Below are 20,178 nucleotides of genomic sequence, written 5' to 3' on the forward strand. Positions count from 1 at the left end.
GCTGGGTTTTGGTGTGGTGGGATCCCTCCATGTAAGACAAAGGGTGCTTCCCTGGCAAGCTGTGTGTTAGAGGGAGTTCACGAAGGGGAAGAAAGGGAACCTCCCAGGAGGGTGGCTGCTGTGGCAGGTCCCCTGCCTCTGGGCACCCTTTGGGCCACCTAGTTTCCCCTGTGGAAGAGGGGAGGCTTAGACCGGTACCACCTGTATCATCAAAGAGGCATCCTGGCTGGGCCAGTCGATTTGACCTTCCCACTTCTTCAGCCCACCTGCCTGTGGTGTCACCTGGGGGAAGTGGATCCTCACACCACAGGGGCAGAGGCTTCTCTGGCAGGCTGATTGCTGTAGTGGATTCTGTTCTGCCTGCTGCTCAGGAGGGTTTCTGTGGCCAGGAACTGATGCTGGGACTCTCCTGTTGGTGTTTTGCTGCCTCTGTGTTGTCTCCGGCTTCTCAGGGACTCTCAGATGTGTGAAGGCAAAAAGGTTTCCTGGCTAGTTTGCGTGGTGTGGTTGGGATCACTTTTGCTACATGCCCCTCAGGCACCCTAGTGGGGGAAAAGGGAATTTTAGATTTAATGGAGAATGTGTCTATGTTGGCTGCTTATTGTTAGCAAACTTCTGAACAATTCTATTCTAAATGGTCGCCTCTTGTTGAGTAGACTCCAGCTCCATTGGAGAAGAGATGATCTTACCTGGGCTGTGTTTTCTTGCTAGCTTGAGGGTTGAAAACACTAGGTTTTTGTCTCCTTTTCCAGTTGAGTTAGGGAAGTGACATGCATTGCCACAAAACAATTCCTTCAGTTCTGGAGTCCTTAGACAGACTGTCATCTTACTAGCACCTTCCAGCATTCTCCTTTCAGTGAGATAAGGGAAGGTTCCTAATCTAAAAGGAAACATGGAATGGTGTTCTTATATTGTATGACAAGAAATATGAAATATTTCTGAAAAATTTAGTCATTCTTCTTTTAAATTTAGAAACCTGTTTTTTATATTTATAATATTTCAAGCCATTAAAAATTAGGATGTCATAATTGAAATAATCTTTTAACATTTTACATTAATTAGCATTTAGCAGATGACCATAACAAATTATTTTTAATTATGTTACATTAATTGCCAATACAGATTTCTTTCTGGTTATTACAAATCTGTTTGCAAAATTTTATTTTGTCATTTATTAAATTTTTGTATAATTAGTTGCTACATTGCAGGTATAGGAACTTCCAATATTAAGCATGATTACAAATACCTCAGTTTTCGTGTCTTTTTATTAATAGTCTAAAACTTATAAAATGCTTTGTGCATTTTATAAGTTATTGGTATAAGTTATAATGTTATTTTATAAGTTATTGGTATAAGTTATAATGTTATTGGTAACATTCTTTAGTATGAATTATCATTTGAAAAATGTTAAGAACATAGCTTTCCCATCTTATTTATTTTCTTGAGGTGGAGTCTCACTCTGTCGCCCAGGCTGGAGTGCAGTGGCGCGACCTTGGCTTACTGCAACCTCTGCCTCCTGGGTTCAAACTATTTCTCCTGCCTCAGCCTCCTGAGTAGCTGGGATTACAGGCACGGTCCACCACGACCGGCTAATTTTTGTGTCTTTAGTAGAGATGAGGTTTCACCATATTGGTCATGCTGGTCTCGAACTACTTACCTCAGGTGATCCACCTGCCTCGGCCTCCCAAAGTGTTGGGGTTACAGGTGTGAGCCACCACGCCAAGCCTATTTATTTTAGATACAGTGTCTTCCTCTGTTGACCAGGTTGAAGTGCAGGGGTGTAGTCATAGCTCACTGCAGGCTCAGACAGTCCTTCTGCCATGGCTTTCCAAAGTGCTGGGATTACAGGCATAGGCCACTGCACCTGGCCTAAATTGTGATAATTTTACAGTTTGCCTCAAACGAGGGTTGATGTCTGGGCAAGGTCTGCTGGGGGCCTCCCATATGCAGGCAGTCTCTCTGCTGTGCCCTCCACCAGCACTGAGGGTCACCTGCCCACAGGCACCCCTCTCCTTTCCCCTCTGGGGAAGGCCAGAAGTGACTTTTGAGGTTACCTGAGGGTCTTTGTCTGGAAAAGGGTGTGAAGCTGAAGCCGATGGCCTCAGTGTCCAAAGGGGAACACTTCCCACAGGCGTTGGGAAGCCACAGGCCTGACAGTGGGGTCCTGGTCTTGGCGGTCTCAGTCACCTGGCCACCCATTCCTTCCTCACTTAGGCATCCACCTGGCGGGCTGCCCACACCCTCTTCTGTCTGTGCTCAGCCAATCAGGCAAGCCAGGGTTACAGCCCTCCCTGTCCTGGGCCCTGGCTCCATGAAGCACCATGTGCCTTGGAAGACCTCCCCGATTGATCCTGTCTCCCCAGTATCTTCTGCTAAGGCAGAGGTTTCCCTGGGCCCCTGCTCTGGTCCGCTTCCTTGGCACAGTTTGTAGCTGTGCCTGACACAGCCCACCTGCCTGGCTTCTGTCTCAAACCCACAGCCAGGCCATGTGACAGCCGCTGCCTGTGCCCAAACATTCATCCAGCCCCACCCAGGAGAGCCAGACAGGCACTCATACCCTCACCCACACACCCCCACCCACACACCCCCACCCGCACACCCTCACCTGCACAATGTCACCCACACACCCTAACCCGCCTGGCCCTGCTGCGCCCCCACCCCACTCTCCCTCTAAACCTACTGGGGGAGCAGCTTCCCCTATATTTGCTTGCTCCACCTCCTCCTAGAGCTGGGTCACATACCAATTCCCACACTCTTGGCAGGTTGGTCATGGCCCTGGCAGGTCTGAGGACAGGATGGACACAGGACTGTGTGTAGCATAGAAAGGTCAGGGAGTGCAGCCTCCTACTCTGTGCCAGCTGCCAGCCCCGGAGCTTACTAGGCTGATGGGGACAAAGAATGCACCAGAGGGGACAGTGACCATTGTCCCTGGGTTAGTCCACCACAGGACTGATGGGAAGTTCATGGATGTACTGATTGCCCTGTTGCATTTGTCCTCAGGGGCGGATGCTGAGATGGAGTTAGGAGAGCAAAGGGGAGGAAGGGAGCTGGGCATGGTGGCTCATGCCTGTAAATCCTAGCACTTGGGGAGGCCCAGGTGGGAGGATTTCTTGAGGCCAGGAGTTTGAGACCAGCCTGGGCAACATAGCAAGACCCTGTCTCTACCAAAAAAAATTAAAAATTAGCCAGGTGTGGTGGCTGTATTCCCAGCTACTTGGGAGGCTGAGGTGGGCGGAACAGTTGAGCCTAGGAGTTGTCAATAGAAATCAAGTGTTGGGATATTGAGAATAGCAGCATAATGAGGGTCCAGAGTATGTTCTTAATACTAATGGTATAATTTCGAGCTTCTGATATATACACAAACATGTATAGCTACACCAGGGATTGTGCTCAAGATTTGACTTACATTAGCTTGTTTAAGCCTCTTCCACACACTATTTGAGGCAGGTACTGTTGTTATCATTTTATGGATGACAAAACTTAGAAGCAGAGCATTTAGGAAACTTGCCCAAGATCACACAGCCATGAAGCAGACACCAGAACCAGAGCCCTAGGCTCGCAAACTTCACTGCCTTCACTCCTAGGCTGTATGTTATTCTGACCATCTCTCAGCCAGGAAGTCACTCCCTTATGCAAATGACATTGTCTGTGCTGATGGTTAAATATTTCTATTCTCACAACATGTGAAAGAGAGAGCCTGATTTGTTAGCTAAGCCCCAAGGGTTTCTCCTACCATTTCAGAGAGAGAGAAACTTTTCTTTGCCCCTAAACTGTGGCAAAGAAAACAGAGAGGAGGAAACAGCCATCAGAAGACTAAAAATCTCTCATCTCTGCAAATAAGAATTCACTCTAACTGAGCTTTTCTGCATGCAGCACTGGGAAGAGACCTTGTTTTTTATTCTATCAACTTACCCATTTAACAATTTATTGAGAACCTGTTGTGTACCTGATGCACTGCTGGCATTGGGTATGTAAAAATCAATGCAGCATGGTCCTTTCCCCAAGCAACTCAGTTTCCTGCTTGGTTCTCTTTTCTGGATCATTTTAATTATGGTTCACCTTTTAAGTAAAGGACAAACAGAGAAGTAGCACTGAGTCAGATTTTTGCCACTAGTCTTATACAGGTGACATATTTTTCTTAATGCTCCCCACACATGGGATCTGAGCCAGCTGAGCCCTGAAACCTCCCAGGCTGAGAACGTAGTGTGGCACTTCACATGAGACTGCGCAGAAGTTGATACAACTGGCATGTTAGCCACAGGAACTCTGCCAAGCGTTCGGGAATAGAAGGGGTGGACAGGACCCCACCTGCTTTTCCTAATCTCATGGGTATCAGGCACCAGGCAGCCTTGCCCCTGGAATGAGACATCTCAGGTAGGGGTTGTCACTGTTCCAAGCTTCCTTTGATGCCGTTTTGATCCTGGATGTAGAGTTGCCACGTGGAGAGCGAAACCACCAGAATATATAATTGAGAAAGGAATGGAAAGATGGACAGATACCTAAATAGATACATAAATACTTTGCAGAAGTCTGGGACAGTGGAACGTAGGAAGAGAGCCTCAGATAGAGAGAGAACAGTAGGTTGATTGTGGTAAAGGGAAGGCTTCACTTTGTTATTCAATATAGTTATTTATTGACTTGTTTAAACAATATGTATGTCTTTAAAATTAAAAGATAATTTGGGGCCGGGCATGGTGGCTCACACCTGTAATCCCAGCACTTGGGGAGGCTGAGGTGGGGTGGATCACGAGGTCAGAAGTTTGAGATCAGCCTGGCCAGTATGGTGAAACCCCATCTCTACTAAAAATACAAAAAGTTAGCTGGGCCTGGTGGCAGGCACCTGTAATCCCGGCTACTCAGGAGGCTGAGGCAGGAGAATCACTTGAACCTGGGAGGCGCAGGTTGTAGTGTGGTGAGATCACGCCACTGCACTCCAGCCTGGGCGACAGGAGCGAAACTCTGTCTCAAAAAACAAAACAAAACAAAACCTTGCATCCTTTCAGGGGGCTCACACCTCCCTAAGGGCCCAGTAATTAAACCCTTTGGGCCTGAGGGTGAGAAACTTTGTCTCAGTTCTTCCCCAAGTGATCAGCCCAGGTGTAAGGAAGGAGAAGCCAGAAAGCAGGACCCATGAGAAGGGCCCCCTCCTGGAGTTTGAGGCCCACTCCCTCCTGCCCCTGCCTCTCCTCTGTCCAGGACTCCTCCCTGCTCTGCCCCACTCCTGGGGCCATAACCATGGGGAGCTGTGGTTTTCTACAGGCCCCTGGGCACAAAGTGGGCAGGCTCACCTGGAGGCGATCAGAGTAACATGGCAGGAAGTGAGGGGGAAAGCCGCCCTGGAACTGCGCCTCTCTGCCCCCTGACGTCACTGGCGTGCACTCCTCCCTCCCCTCATTCAGGCAGTGGCATGAGTTCCATGTGAGCGCTGTCCTGCTCCCTCTGCTGCCTCTTTTTTTTCTTGGGGCTGCCATAACACTTTCCCTTCCCCAGCCCTGCCAACCTGGTGGGACATTGGGCTTCCCTCTCACAGGGTCCTGGGGACAGGCCCATCCTTTATCATACGCACAGAGAGACCGTTTTTTCCTTCAGGACCTGGGGAGCAGCCAGGTTCCATGAGTTAAATGCAGATCTGAACCAAGCTGGGATTGGGGTACACACTCTCCTCTACTGAAAAGTAGCTAGGGATTCCAACTAGGTGAGAAGGAGAGTGGGGCAGAGCCAGACCAGACAAGGACTGATCACCTGGAAAAAGCCTGCCATCAAAGGTCTTGGCAAATGCTGGGTGCAGTGGCTCACTCCTGTAATACCAGCACTTTGCGGGGCTGAGACAGGTGGACTACTTGAGGCAAGGAGTTCGAGTCCAGCCTGGGCAACATGGCAAAACCACATCTCTACTAGAAATACAAAAATTAGCTAGGCATGCTACACTCCTGTAATCCCAGCTACTCAGGAGACTGAGGCAGGAGAATCACTTGAACTGGGGAGGCAGAGGTCGAAGTGAGCCGAGATTGTGCCCCTGCACTCCAGTCTGGGAGACAGAGTGAAACTGGCCTCAAAAAAAAAAAAGAATATGGCCTTGGCAGAGAGGGGCCAGCCCAGCAGTGCCTTCCCTTGGGTTTCTCCTGGGTAGGCCTCTGCCATGAGGAGGTGCTTCCTTCTGCCTGTCCATGGCCCACAGCAATGGAATGTCTGCTTCTGGGGGTTGGGTGGGAGACTGCTGGCAGAACTGGAAACCTTCAGGTGGGGTTTTTTTGTTTTGTTTTGTTTTCGAGATGGAGCGTCGCTCTGTCACCCAGGCTGGAGTGCAGTGGTGGAATCTCAGTTCACTGCAACCTCCGCCCCCCTGGGTTCAAACAATTCTCCTGTCTCAGCCTCCTGAGTAGCTGAGATTACAGGCATGTGCCACCATGCCCGGCTAGTTTTTGTATTTTTTGTATAGATGGCATTTCACCATGTTGGCTGGGCTGGTCTCGAACTCCTGACCTCAAGTGATCCACCCACCTCGGCCTCCCAAAGTGCTGGGATTACAGGCATGAGCCACTGAGCCCAGCCCCTTCAGGGGGGTTTTGAGGCTTCACTACAATACTAGTTTCCTGTGGCTGCTGCAACAAATTACCACACACTTAGTGACTTAAAACAACCAAAATGTATTCCCTTACAAGTCTGAAGGCCAGAATTCTACAGTAAGTCCTTCTGAGTCAAGGTGGGAGCAGGGTTGGTGGCTTCTGAGGCTCTGCGGGAGAATCTGTTTCCTGGCCGTAGAGGTGGCCTGCACTCCTCAGCTTGTGCTGCCCGTCTTGAATGACTGGAGTTTCCTGCTTCTGTCACTACACCTCCCACCCTCTCCATCACCTGCTCTGCTCTTACAAGGATCCGAGTGAGTACATCAACCCCAAAAGCCAAAGACCCTTAACTTCATTATATCTGCAAAGCCCCTTTTGCCATATAAGGTCATGTTCACCAGTTCCCGGGATTAGGATATGGGCATCTGGGGGGCATCAGCCTGCTACAGCTAGGCTGCAAAACTGTTACACCCTCCTGGTGTTTCAGTGATTGGGAGAAAAAGGGTTGGCATTTTTTGCTTAGAGGTCCCTCTTAAACTTGTATCTGTAAGGTCGGGGGTCCCTCTTAACCTTGTGTTTTTGTTTTTGTTTTTTTTTGAGGTGGAGTCTTGCTCTGTCATCCAGGCTGGCAGTGGCGTGATCTTGGCTCACTGCAATGTCTGCCTCCTGGGTTCAGGTGATTCTCCTGCCTCAGCCTCCTGAGTAGCTGGGACTACAGGCGCCCGCCACCATGCCCTGCTGTTTTGTATTTTTGGTAGGGACGGGGTGGGGGTGGGGCTAGGGAGGGGGCTTTTGGCTATGTTGCCCTGAGCTCAAAGTGATCCGCCTGCCTCTGCTGCCAAAGTGCTGGGATTACAGGCCTGCACCACTGCACCCGGCTGCTGTAAAGTCTTATTTCACACAGCTGAGACATGTTTTAGGAAGTTTGCTAAAAGACCCCTGGAGACCGCCTCATTGTGACCTCCCTGTTATTGTGTTTAATTTGATTGAACTTCTCTGCCCTCCTGCTTTTCAGCTTCTCTAATAGTCTCCCATTAAACCATTCTAAGAACCACCAAAAAGGGGAAATTTTTTCTTGAAAGCAGTAAAATGATATGGACTGTTAGAATGTAAAATATATGAAATCAGTCATTATACGTTAGTGCTGCTCTGACATAGGGACGTATTATTGAGAAGCAACTTTTGCTTGATTTTCAGAGAAATGGAATCATCGTATCGCTGATCTATGTAAACAAACTGAAGAATTGTCTGAAAGAAAATATGGTATGTCTAAACTGGAAAAGTCCTGTAATCTTATGTTCATGGGCGTTTACACAATGGAGTTACTGTTCATCATGGGGGTACCGTGGACAAGCCCAGGGCTGCCGGCGAGTCATGCCATCCTTACACGTTTCTCCTTGTAAGGTGCTTTGTAGTGTCTACACACTTTGTTTCTAGATTGCTGCAAAGCTGAGGAAAAGTTGTATTTCTTTAGTTATTAGTTAGCATTTCTTTTAAACTTTCAGTATGGAGATTGGAAATTTATTTACATATTTATTGCAAAGCCCTGAATCTTAGGGATTTCATTGAATTATTTATTTATTTTTTTTGAGACAGAGCCTCACTCTGTCGCCCAGGCTGGAGTGCAGTGGCACGATCTCGGCTCTCTGCAACCTCCGCCTCCCGGGTTCAAGCAGTTCTCTGCCTCAGCCTCCCGAGCAGCTAGGATTACAGGCACCAGCCACCATGCCTGGCTGATTTTTGTATTTTTAGTAGAGATGGGGTTTCATGATCTTGGCTAGGCTGGTCTTGAACTGCTGACCTCCTGATCCACTCACCTCAGCCTCCCAAAGTGCTGGGATTACAGGTGTGAGCCGCCATGCCTGGCCAAATATTATTTTTTTAAATGAATTGTTTCTCTTAGTCTGTTTTGTTAAATTTGGAATTCATCCGGGTGCGGTGGCTCACACCTGTAATCCCAGCACTTTGGGAGGCCAAGGCAGGCAGATATCTAGGTCGGGAGTTCGAGACCAGCCTGACCAACATGGAGAAACCCCGTCTCTACTAAAAATACAAAATTAGACGGGTGTGGTGGCGCATGTCTGTAATCCCAGCTATTCGGGAGGCCAAGGCAGGAGAATCGCTTGAACCCAGGAGGCAGAGGTTGCGGTGAGCCGAGGTTGCACCATTGCACTCTAGCCTGGGCAAAAAGAGCAAAACTCCATCTCAAAATAAATAAATAAATAAAATGTTCAGTACTCTCCAAGGTGCCCCTATTGTCTCTACTTTTATCTTGATGCATCACTGAATTGATGTTAGATTTCAAATTCATCATTGCCCTGCTACTATTCTATCCTGAAGCCACCTTTATATAGTGATGAAAGAAATTAGCGATTTGTTATTATCCTCTCTCTGTTGGTATACATCAAATACTCACCTAAAAAAGAGCAACAACCAGTGGAAAACGTGATGTTTTTATTTGGGTGACTATTTACTTGTAACCTACTAGCAAACTATAAAATTGTATGATATGCAGAATTTTAACTGAATTGCTTTAAGTGAACATTTAAACATGATAAACAATATTGATGGTATTTATGTTAATATACTTAAAATGAACATTTTTCTTCATCATGAGTAATATAACCTACTCCTCAATGAAAACCTAGCACTAAATTTGCTAATGAATTCAATAACATTTCCATAATATTTTTAGTTACATGCTTAAGGTTCTCTTAGTGTTTCTCCCACTTTTTAATAGCTTATGCCTTTTTCACCTTTGGTTTTTTTTTGGTTCATTTTAAAGCAAAAATCTCACAACATGTGATATCTGGAAACACTGTAACCTAGTGGTAAGACCATAGGCCCTGGGGACACAGGCTGGCCACGTCTCTTCTCCTGTCTGAGCTTTAGTATCCTCTTTTGTGGTCATGAGAACTGAAGATCTGTCCCGAAGATTTGATAAGATAGTAAAGTGCTTCACATAATACCAGACATATAAATACACAGTAAATGCTTCCTCCTTATATTTTTATTGATTGATTGATGGAGACAGAATCTTGCTCTCTTGCCCAGGCTGGAATGCAGTGGCGTGATAATGGTTTCTGCAACCTCCACCTCCTGGGTTCAGGCAATTCTCCTGCCTCAGCCTCCCGAGTAGCTGGGATTACAGGTGCCTGCCACCATGCCCAGCTAATTATTGTACTTTTAGTACAGACGGGGTTTTACCATGTTGGCCAGGCTGGTCTCGAACTCCTGACCTCATGATCTGCCTGCCTCGGCCTCCCAAACTGCTGGGATTACAGGTGTGAGCCACTGTGCCCAGCCTGTCTTTTCTCTTCACAACCGCAGTTCATGATGAAATATTAAATATGTACTAGTGGATATTACTTTGCTGAATATTGCCTAATGAATATTAAGTATTTATTCTCACCTTTCAGACATGAACTTATGAATTCAACAGGTGAAGATTTACAACTTGATAAATCAACTGTCAGGTACGTCTTCAGTCAAGTCAGATTAGAAGATTATGTGAGGTAATTAACACTTAACATTGATTTAATGGTAGCTTCCACATGAAATAGTATGCCTCTAAGTATTAATTATGTCCTAGGACAGAAGAATTCATGTTGTCAAAATTCTCATACTCTCTAGAACAATAAACTCATTTTCTTTTTATTAGTAAATATTGCATTTATGGGTAGACAAAACTGAAAGAACAATATTTGTTCTACTTTTGAGATGCAAGATTCATCTGGCATAATGCATTGAACAGGTTATTATTGAAGGCTACACCAGTCAACTGAATAAGCATTCATCAAATGTCCATGATATGCAGGACATAAGTTTTCTTTTAGAGTATGGAACCATGCATATTATCTTTTAATTAGATGATTTAGTTAGATATGTTTTTAAAGAACTAGAAATATAATTGATTTTCTTGTTTTGGCTCTGGAGTGGAGTGGGGACGAAACAGAATGGATTCACACTTGTTTAGATTTACTAAAATGGAAGGATTGCAGCAAGATCATATCCCTAGTCTCCCTATAGCAAATGTCACCTGCTAGCTGTTTTTTTTTTTTTTTTTTTTTTTTTTGGAGGTTGAAGTTTTGTTCTGTCACCCACGCTGGAGTGCAGTGGTATGATCTCAGCTCATGGCAAGCTCACCTCCTGGGTTCAAGCAATTCTCCCTGCCTCAGCCTCCTAAGTAGCTGGGATTACAGGCCTCTGCCACCACGCCTGCCTAATTTTTGTATTTGTAGTAGAGTTGGGGTTTCACCATGTTGGCCAGGCTGGCCTTGAACTCCTGACTTCAGGAGATTCACCCGCCTCAGCCTCCCAAAGTGCTTGGGATTATGGGTGTGTCACTGCACTTGGATTTAATGGGATATTTCACTACAGACTTCGGTAAACAGAATATTAGCATTTTTGGTGTTCTTTTTATTTTACTCATACTGTTTTTCTTTGGACTCAATCACAATAACAGAATTAAAGATCAAAGTGTAAAAGTTAAAGACCAGTACAGATTCAATAATTATTCTTTTCTACATACTGTGTTTAAATGATATCCCTTTTTCTTTTTGTTCTTACAGCTCGAGCTGTAAAAGCCAAAGGTCCGGTGATGATCCCATACCCTTTTTTCCAGTCTCATGTTGAAGATTTTTATGTAGAAGGCCTTCCCAAAGGAATTTTTTTTTTTTTTTTTTTTGAGATGGAGTTTTCACTCTTATCGCCCAGGCTGGGGTGCAATGGCGCAACCTTGCTGGTCACTGCAACCTCTGCCTCCTGGGTTCAAGAAATTCTCCTGCCTTAGCCTCCCAAGTCACTGGGATTACAGGTGCCCACCACCATACCAGGCTAATTTTTGTATTTTTAGTGGAGATGCGGTTTCACCATGTTGGCCGGGCCAGTCTCAAACTCCTGACGTCAAGTGATCTTCCCGCCTCGACTCCTGATATCAAGTGATCTTCCCGCCTCGGCCTCCCAGAGTGCTGAGATTACAGACGTGAACCCATGCCTGGCCAGGAATTTTGTTTTTTAGGAAGGCTTTCTACTAATGGAATTCCTGGCCTTGAGAGGATGTTACTTTAGAAGGAAAGGATTTTTTTGTTATTAAAAGGTAAGATTCCTGGATTCTTATTGGACTGTTACCTCTGTTATGAGTAATCCAGCTTTAGTCATTCACCACTAGGGTTGTATTTAATTAAGTCTGAGTTATTTTATGGTAGTTTTGTTTTGTTTTGTTTTGTTTTTACCGAATTTTGTTCTCATTGCCGTGGCTTGAGGGCAATGACGTGATCTCAGGTCACCACATTCTCTGCCTTCCAGGTTCAAGCAATTCTCCTGCCTCAGCCTCCTTAGTAGCTGGATTTACAGGCATGCGCCACCATGCCTGGCTAATTTTTTGTATTTTTAGTAGAGATGGTGTTTCACCATGTTGACCAGGCTGGTCTAGAACTCCTGACCTTGGGTGATCCACCCGCCTCGGCCTCCCAAAGTGCTGGGATTACAGGCATGAGCCACTGCGCCCAGCCTGGGCCTGCTTCTTTCTCTTTTTCTTTTTTTTTCATTAGCAGCTTAAAATTGGTGCCTTATTCAGACACAAGCAAAAGGACATTAGCCCAGCTTTGGAAATAGGTGAGAGCCCATATATGATTTTCCTAGTTTCTCCTCCCCCTTTGCTTTTTGCTCTCTTGTTAGTATATTAATTGTTTTCACTCTCTGAATCTTTTTTCCCCATTTCTTTGGCAGACATTTTTACTTGTCTTGGAAGAGTAGGTGAAGAGCTGTTTTTAGGACTCTTTGAAAGGGTACAGTATGGGTGACAGTCTTGGCTAATGGTAACATCCAGGGAGCTGGGGTCAGCGTGAGCTGGAATCAGTTCAAATTAGCAAAGCACTGGCACTCAGTAGCAGGAATACAAGTGACTGCAAAGTGTTAAACACATCTGGAAAGGGATACTGACATCATCCTCAGAATCTGTGGGGAGTTCACATAGCCAGTTAAGACCCATTCTTCTTTGACCCTGTAAAGATTCTTTAAAGAATAAATACCCTTAGTGGTTTTCTAGCCAGCTTGCCTGCTCATTTATCTTTGAGGACGACATGCCTTGTGGAGCTCCACAGGCCCCAGAGGGGTATGGATTCTGCATTTAAAAGTGCTGAAGCTGAGAGACTGGGTCTTGGTGGACCCCGAGAGGTCTGTTTCTCCTCTACTCATTGTTCCTTTTTTTCCCAACAGCTGGCATTGCTGTTTAAATGGGTTGTTCTTTGCTGTTTTAAGTTGTTTCATAGTGGTGTGTCAGGATTTGGGTTTTCTTAATACTTTCCAAGCTGGTGACTTGAGTGGTGGTTAGGGAGGAAATGTTTTAGGGCTGTTCTGGAGCTATTGAGGTCAGGTGTCTAGATACTCCCAGCTTGTCTGTTGAGGAGAATGCTGTTCTCATTGTGCTGCCTTTGGTGGTGCTGTGTGTGGCTCTTTAGATGTGCGTGGAGGTGAGCTGGGGGAGTTAATGAGATCTTTTTTAGGTGCTTTTGATAAAGTAGCCTGCACTACAGGATTCACTGTGACTTTTTTCCTTAACCTATGCATTTCTCTCTGCTAGCTTTTGCTGTCTTTCTCATGCCTTTGATTTTCCCAGCTCCTCTTAGTTGAATTAACCTAAGTGCTCTGCTATGGTTTAAATGTGTCCCCCAAAGTTTATGTGCTGGAAACTCAATCCTCAATGCAACAGTTGGGATGTGGGGCCTAATAAAATAGCCTTCATGAATGAGTTAATGTTGTTATTGTGGTAATAGATTAGTAATCACAGAGTGGGCTTATTATAAAACATCGAGTTCAGCCCCTTTTGCCCTCTTGCTTTCTTGCACTCTCTTTTCCTTCTGCCTTCTGTAGTGGGATGATGCAGCAAGAAGACCCTTACCAGATGCAGGCCCCTCAACCTTGGACTTCCTAACATCCAGAACTGTTAAGAAATAAAATTTATTCCTTTCCTTTCCTTTTCTTCCTCCTTTCCCTTCTCTTCCCTTTTCTTCCCTTCCCCTCCCTCCCTCTCTCCCTCCCTCCCTCCTTCCCTCCCTTCCTCCTTCCCTCTTTCTCTCTTTCCCTTCCTTCCTTTCCTTCTTTCCCTTCCTTCCTTTCCTTCCCTCCTTCCCTTTTCCCCTCCTTCCCTCCTCCCTTCCTTTTTTCTTTCCTTCCTTTTTTCCTTTTTATAAATTATGCAGTCTGTGGTATTCTTTTATAGAAGCATGAAATGGACAAAGACTCCATTTTCAAGAGCAAGCACTTTTGTAGTTTCTGAGCGAACTATGACTGCAAAGGAAGTTCTATAGGTAGCCTCAGATCCACTACCTAGGAAGCATGCCACCAAGCAGACCTAGGATCTAGGATTTGATCAAGTGCTGGGCAACATGATACCTCTGCAATTTAGCACTTCCCTATATACCTCCAGTTGGCTCAGCCCATTAGGGCTAAAACTACCCCTCATATCCTGGTGTCTCTTGTAGGCAGAAGCCTTGCCTAAACCCTAAGCTGCTTGGCTCACATTCTGTCTTGTGCTTTTTTTGTAGGGGGTTCAAATATACACAAAAGAAATATGTTGAACCTCCATGCACCCAACCCGCAGATTAAGCAGTTACCTCCATTTTTCCAGATTTGTTTCATCTGCTTCAATCTCCCTAAAAATTTATGTTTGTACAGGAAAGACTGAATAAATAGCTAATTCTCCACCCTACCTCTCATCTTAAGTCACTTTTCAGAGTAGTAAGTTAGTGACCTAGTAACCTTCCCTCTAATGACCAGTAGTTTTTTTTTCTGAATACCATTATGAACTCATAGATTATTGTTTGCATTTGATGTATTTCAGGCCATTGCAGTCTTTATTGTTTTGGATGCTTACATTGTCTCATCTAGGTTAATAATTATCTCTTCAAGTTGACTTTCATGTCTTTTTGACGTGATCCTGTTGGACTTTGATGGCTTCCTTGCTTTCTGGCAAAAAAGATGTTCCAGGATCAATATACTGCACCATACATGGAGTCAGCCGTTTCTCTAGGGAACCTTGATTCCTTTTAGTAGAGAACACAGTTTGAGGTCTTGGACTGAATGACTTTTGTGAACCTCCTCTCCTGAGACTACAGCCTGCATCCCTGCATATAGCCCGTTTGGAGCTCTTGCTGGGCACCAACAGATCTCCTAAAACTGCTATATAGTTCTGCCTCACTCTTACAAAGATTCATCTCTTGAGAGTTTTGTGCTCTACCCCCAGATGTGGTCTTTCTGGTTCTGAAGCTTTTGCTTCAGTCACCCTGAATTTTGCCAGCCCTATGCATGCTATACCTTGGATTGCCAACTTGCCCTCACTGAAGCCAGTTTCTCTGGTTAGAATAGTTGCCCAAACCCATGCCTAATACTCTAGTAAACAAGGTTCTACCTGGGCTTAGGTTAACTTTTGCTCCTTTGGGCCCTGTGTTCTACCAGCATTCCATTTATCTGAAACTCTCCCTCACCTTAAGAACTTATCTGTTCTTTAATGATTTACTGCTGCTTCCTGGGCTCGAAAGAACCCAGTTCAGGAGTTTCTGTTTTAGTTTGAGATCTTATAGGCCTGTCTCATCAGGTTGGTGTCAGCCCAGCTAGGATTAGGCAGAATTGGGTGGGGGCTGTAGTGCATTTTTGGCACAGCATGTACCTGTCTGACTAATTCTCTGTCTTTTCTTTCCTGTTGCAATTCATGGGTCTTAGCATCTTCTGAATGGTGTTTAGTAGGTCATCCTGTTGATTTCCTGCTAGGGAGTAGCATACTCTGGCTCTGTACCATTGGCCAAGGGACTTAAGGATAGATGAAGGGCTGCAGTTTTGTTAAATGGAACAATATGAAGAGATGGCATTGTAAAAAAAAAAAAAAAAAGGCTTGGCAGCAGGGCCCATTTGAATGGTTGGTCCTTGGCTCCTTTGTTGATATAGGCAGATCCTTGATGGGAATTTGGAATGATCCCAAATATTGTAGATCACTGGTACATCAAGTCATCCTCAAGGTTGTCTGTGTAACAGTCTTGAATGATATTTTGTCAGTCTTTGGAGATTCTCTGTATAGGGTTTAATCATTTAGTTATTTCAGTTGAGACTGTTTAGTTTCTTTGCAAGGAGATAAGAAATGTGAAAGAGATGCAGACATTAGGGAAAAAAAGTCAGGAGCCTTGTTTCCCCATCCTCTACTTGGGTTCTGGAACTAGACTCATAGGTGAGTAGTGAGGAGCTGGGCCCAAGCACATTAATCCTAGATCTAGCTCTGCTTTGCCCTCGCTCCAGTTCTTGTATCAAATTCACTTCAAGCCACCCAGAGTAGTATGTAGAGGAGTCATTCAGGACCGTGCTCATACTTCATTGTATCAAATGGGAGATCCAGTAATTTATAGCCTATTGTTTCTGGAGCCTGGAGATGGCTCTGCATAAGATTTGCCGAAGCAAATTTTATTACATTAGAAGAGAACCTAGCTGGCTGCATCCTACACTGGAAGCTTTTAGATGCTAATAAGGAGGTCATGTAAAGGTCACAGAATGACTCTGGAATCCATTCCCCGCCAAGAAAGAATAATGACATTCTATGTTGGCCTCTTTTCATTTCCCTTTGGTTTTGAGTAATAAATTCTCTCCTCACTTCCCAGTCGAACTGTTTGGGAGTCTCTATTCCCTAGAAAGACTCTGGTCGCATACCCATCAGATTAAATTAGGTGAAAACTCTTTGGCCTTCATGAATGTTGAAGGATTTCAAAGGGCTAATGGAAATTCTTCTAGAAGTAACTGCAACCTCTGCCTTCCGGGTTCAAGTGATTTTCCTGCCTCAGCCTCCCAAGTAGCTGGGATTACAGGTGTCCACCACCATGCCCAACTAATTTTTGTATTTTTAGTAGAGATGGGGTTTCACCATGTTGGCCAGGCTGATCTAGAACTTTTGACCTCAGGTGATCCGCCCGCCTCAGCCTCCCAAAGTGCTGGGATTACAGGCGTGATCCACCGCGCCCAGTTAAACTTCAGTTTTTCATGTTCCATGCATTGGTCAGGGTCTTAGGGAGTGATTCATTCTAGCAGAACTCCCTGGATTTTAAGGCAGATGTTCCATTTATTAATTGACAAAGGAGGCATATTTCTCCCCTGGTAACCCAAAGATTTAGGTCATTTTCCCAGAGACTCCATTTCCACTGTGAGGGTTCTTGGAAGACTAAGCAGAGGATGAGGAAAAGTCTGTGAACAAGCTTGCTGGTCTCTCCCTGTCCTACAAAAGAGCATACCTCTTCTGTAACCAGAAGGCCCTTTTGATTAGTCAAGGCTGGACAGAGTGAGATTGGGGGTGTGTGTGTGTGTGTGTGTGTGTGTGTGTGTGTGTGTGTGTGTTTGTGTGTGTCTTGAGACAGGGTCTCACTCTGTCACCAAGGCTAGAGTGCAGTGGTGAGATCAGAGCTCACTGCAGCTTCCACTTCCTGGGCTCAAGCGATCCTCCTATTTCAGCCTCCAGAGTAGCTGGGACTATACGAATGTTTTACCGCACCCAGTTCATTTTCTAATTTTTTGTAGAGATGAGGTTTCACTGTGTTGCTCAGGCTGGTCTTGAACTCCTGGCCTCACGGAATCCTCCTGCCTTAGTCTCCCAGTGGGCTGGGATTATAGGTATGAGCCACCTCACCTGACCTGCGACGATTTTTCAATGATGTAATTTCTCTTTTACAGAGCCACCTAAGCTGAAGATTCCCTTGAGAACAAGTACTGTCCCTGGTTTCCCAGTGCTGGAATATAGAAAATGGATGGACAAGTAAATCCCACTCAGCACCCATAGTCCAGGCGTGGGGACCTCAACACACCTGAGCCCCAGACATCACCTTTCATTGCGAGTAGCTCTGAGATGACACTTCTGCTGTTCCCAATTCCAGCATTAATTGGATTAGATAGTTATTTTATGAAGAATTTTCATATGCCACAATCCTGACCATATCTTCAAGTGAACAGAAAAATTCTATTAAAAAGTCAACCTTCTGTCTCACTCTGTTGCCCAGACTGGAGTGCAGTGGTGCAATTATGGCTCACTGCAGCCTCAACCTCCTGGGCTCAAGCAATCCTCCTGCCTCAGCCTCACAAGTAGCTGGGACTACAGGTGCTTGTCACCACACCTCACTAATTTTCCCATTTGTGTTATATGTGGATTCCACAGGACTGACTTCGAAAACTTGAGTATGCGTGGATTTTGGTATACACAGAAATGGGAGAGCTGGAACTAATCCCCCCATATACCAAGGGACAAATTGTATCTGTTTTTACAATTATACAGTAGGAGACATTATGTTCCATGACAATGGTAATTTTTAACGACAGTTTTTAATTGAGTGAAATTACCATAAAAATAATAATAGTAGCAGCTAATATTTACTGAGCTGTTACTAGGTGCCTATAAATAGCATAGATTTTTAAATTCTCCATAATTCTTCCTTATTTCACTTAACCACTCTATCTTAAATTACTCATGCTTGCCTCAGTAGCACACATACTTAAGTTGGAACAATAGAGAGATTGGCACGGCCTCTGTGGAAGAATGACATGCAAATTTGTGAAGCATTCCATATTTTTTTAAAAAAAGAAAAAAAAATTACTCCCAGATTTTCACTGTGTTTGTGCATATGACCTTTTGTTTAGGTTGAATTATATCCAAAGGTGAAATTTCGAGAAGTGAGATTACTGTGAGTCACAGGGCATGAGCATTCTTATTACCCTCGATGTAAATTGCAAAGCTTTCAGGCATGGTGGCTGTCAGCCTGTAATTCCAGCACTTTGGGAGGCTGAGGTGGGAGGATTGCTTGAGGCCAGGAGTTGGAGGAGGCAGTATAATGAGTCACTGTCTGTATGATTTAAAAAAAATTTCCAAGCTTTATGCTGGAAGGCTTATATACATTTTAAACACCACTAATACTACAAGAAAATGGCCATTTCACTGCACCTTCGCCCACACAGGTATTATAATTTAACAAGTTATTTTCTGTGTGATAAATGAAAGACCTCATATTATTACTTTGTCACCCATTCTTTTTTCTTTTTTGAGACACAGTCTCGCTCTGTTGACCAGGCTGGAGTGCAGTGGTGTGATCTCGGCTCACTGCAACCTGTGCCTCCCAGGTTCAAGCGATTCTCCTGCCTCAGCCTCCTGAGTAGCTGGGATTACAGGCACATGCCACCATGCCTGGCTAATTTTTGTATTTTTAGTAGAAACGTGGTTTCACCATGTTGATCAGGCTGGTCTCGAACTCCTGATCTCGTGATCTACCCGCCTTGGCCTCCCAAAGTGCTTGATTACAGCTGTGAGCCATGTGCCCAGCCTATTTGTCACATATTTTATCTTTCCTTATGTTAGCTTATTAGCTTTATTTCTTTATTGTCCTTTTTTTTTTTTTTTTTTTTTGAGATGAAGTCTCGCTCTGTCTCCTAGGCTTCAGTGTAGTGGCACAGTCTCAACTCACTGCAGCCTTGACCTCCTAGGCTCAGGTGATCCTTCCACCTCAGTAGTTGGGACTATAGGCACATGCCACTATGCCTGGCCAATTATTTTTATTTTTTTATTTTTACTAGAGAGGAGGTCTTGCTTTGTTTCTTAGGCTGGTCTGGAACTCCTGGCCTCAAGCAATCCCCCCACCACCCCCTCCCAAAGTACTGGTATTATAAGCATGAGCCACCATGCCTGGGGTATCTGTGTCTTTTCCATTTATTTATAGAGTTACTTTGTCTTTTACTAATTCAATGATCTGTTTAATCTTTTATTAAATTATAAAAATAATAAATACTTTTAAATAAGTGAAAAATGTCCTTCACTCTTTAGACCCATAATCTTATCTCAGGAAATAATTGCAGTTGAGAAAATGGGCCATATCCTTCAAGATACGTACATGGTGATTGAACATCACTTCATATTTTCATATTTCGTGGACATTTGTGCCAATACCTATTGATCTATCTTAATCCTTTTCATGGTTGCATAATATTTTATTATATGGATGTGTCACAATTTACCAGTACCAGTCAACTGCTGGAGGCATTTAGGCTCCTTCTAATATTTGCTTTGAGCTCTTTATATAATTAAAAATTAACCCCCTCAGCCAGGTGTGGCAGCTCACACCTTTAATCCCAGCATTTTGGAAGGCTGAGGTGAGAGAACTGCCTGAGTGTAGGAGATCACCACCAACCTGGTCAACATAGTGACACTTTGTCTCTACTAAAAATTAAAAAAAAAAAAATGAGCTACACGTTGCAGTGCACACCTGTAGTCCGAGCTACTGGGGAGGCTAAGACTGGAGGATCACTTGAGTCTAGAAGGTTGAGGCTGCAGTAAGCTATGATCACACCATTGCACTTTAGCTTTGCTAAGAGCAAGACTGCACTTCTTAAACAAAATAAAAATTAGATGGGAATATTGCTCAAGCCCTGGAGGTTGAGGCTGCAGTTAACTGTGATTGCAGCACTGCAGTCCAGCCTAGGTGATAGAGCAAGACCCTTTCTCTAAAAATAAAATAAAATAAAAATTAACCTTCTATCATATTTCCCAGTAACACCTTCCCTCCTACATTTCTCCTAGAAGCCCTTAAATTTTGTTTTTCACATA

The 20,178-nt window shown here is 44.6% G+C and overlaps 1 pseudogene, besides 1 other annotated feature; it reads left to right on the forward strand.

The window, feature by feature from the left end:
• Positions 124–644: an enhancer, noted in NCBI's record as "H3K4me1 hESC enhancer chr5:180711037-180711557 (GRCh37/hg19 assembly coordinates)". NCBI's record gives its function as "activates a minimal SCP1, AML or CMV promoter by ChIP-STARR-seq in naive H9 embryonic stem cells {active_cell/tissue: H9 hESC(naive)}" and the evidence as "EXISTENCE:reporter gene assay evidence [ECO:0000049][PMID:30033119]".
• On the forward strand, positions 18,055–18,158 carry RNU6-705P (RNA, U6 small nuclear 705, pseudogene; annotated as a pseudogene).

The sequence above is a fragment of the Homo sapiens genome, chromosome 5 (genome assembly GCF_000001405.40).
Source record: "Homo sapiens chromosome 5, GRCh38.p14 Primary Assembly".
In the NCBI taxonomy this organism is placed as follows: domain Eukaryota; kingdom Metazoa; phylum Chordata; class Mammalia; order Primates; family Hominidae; genus Homo; species Homo sapiens.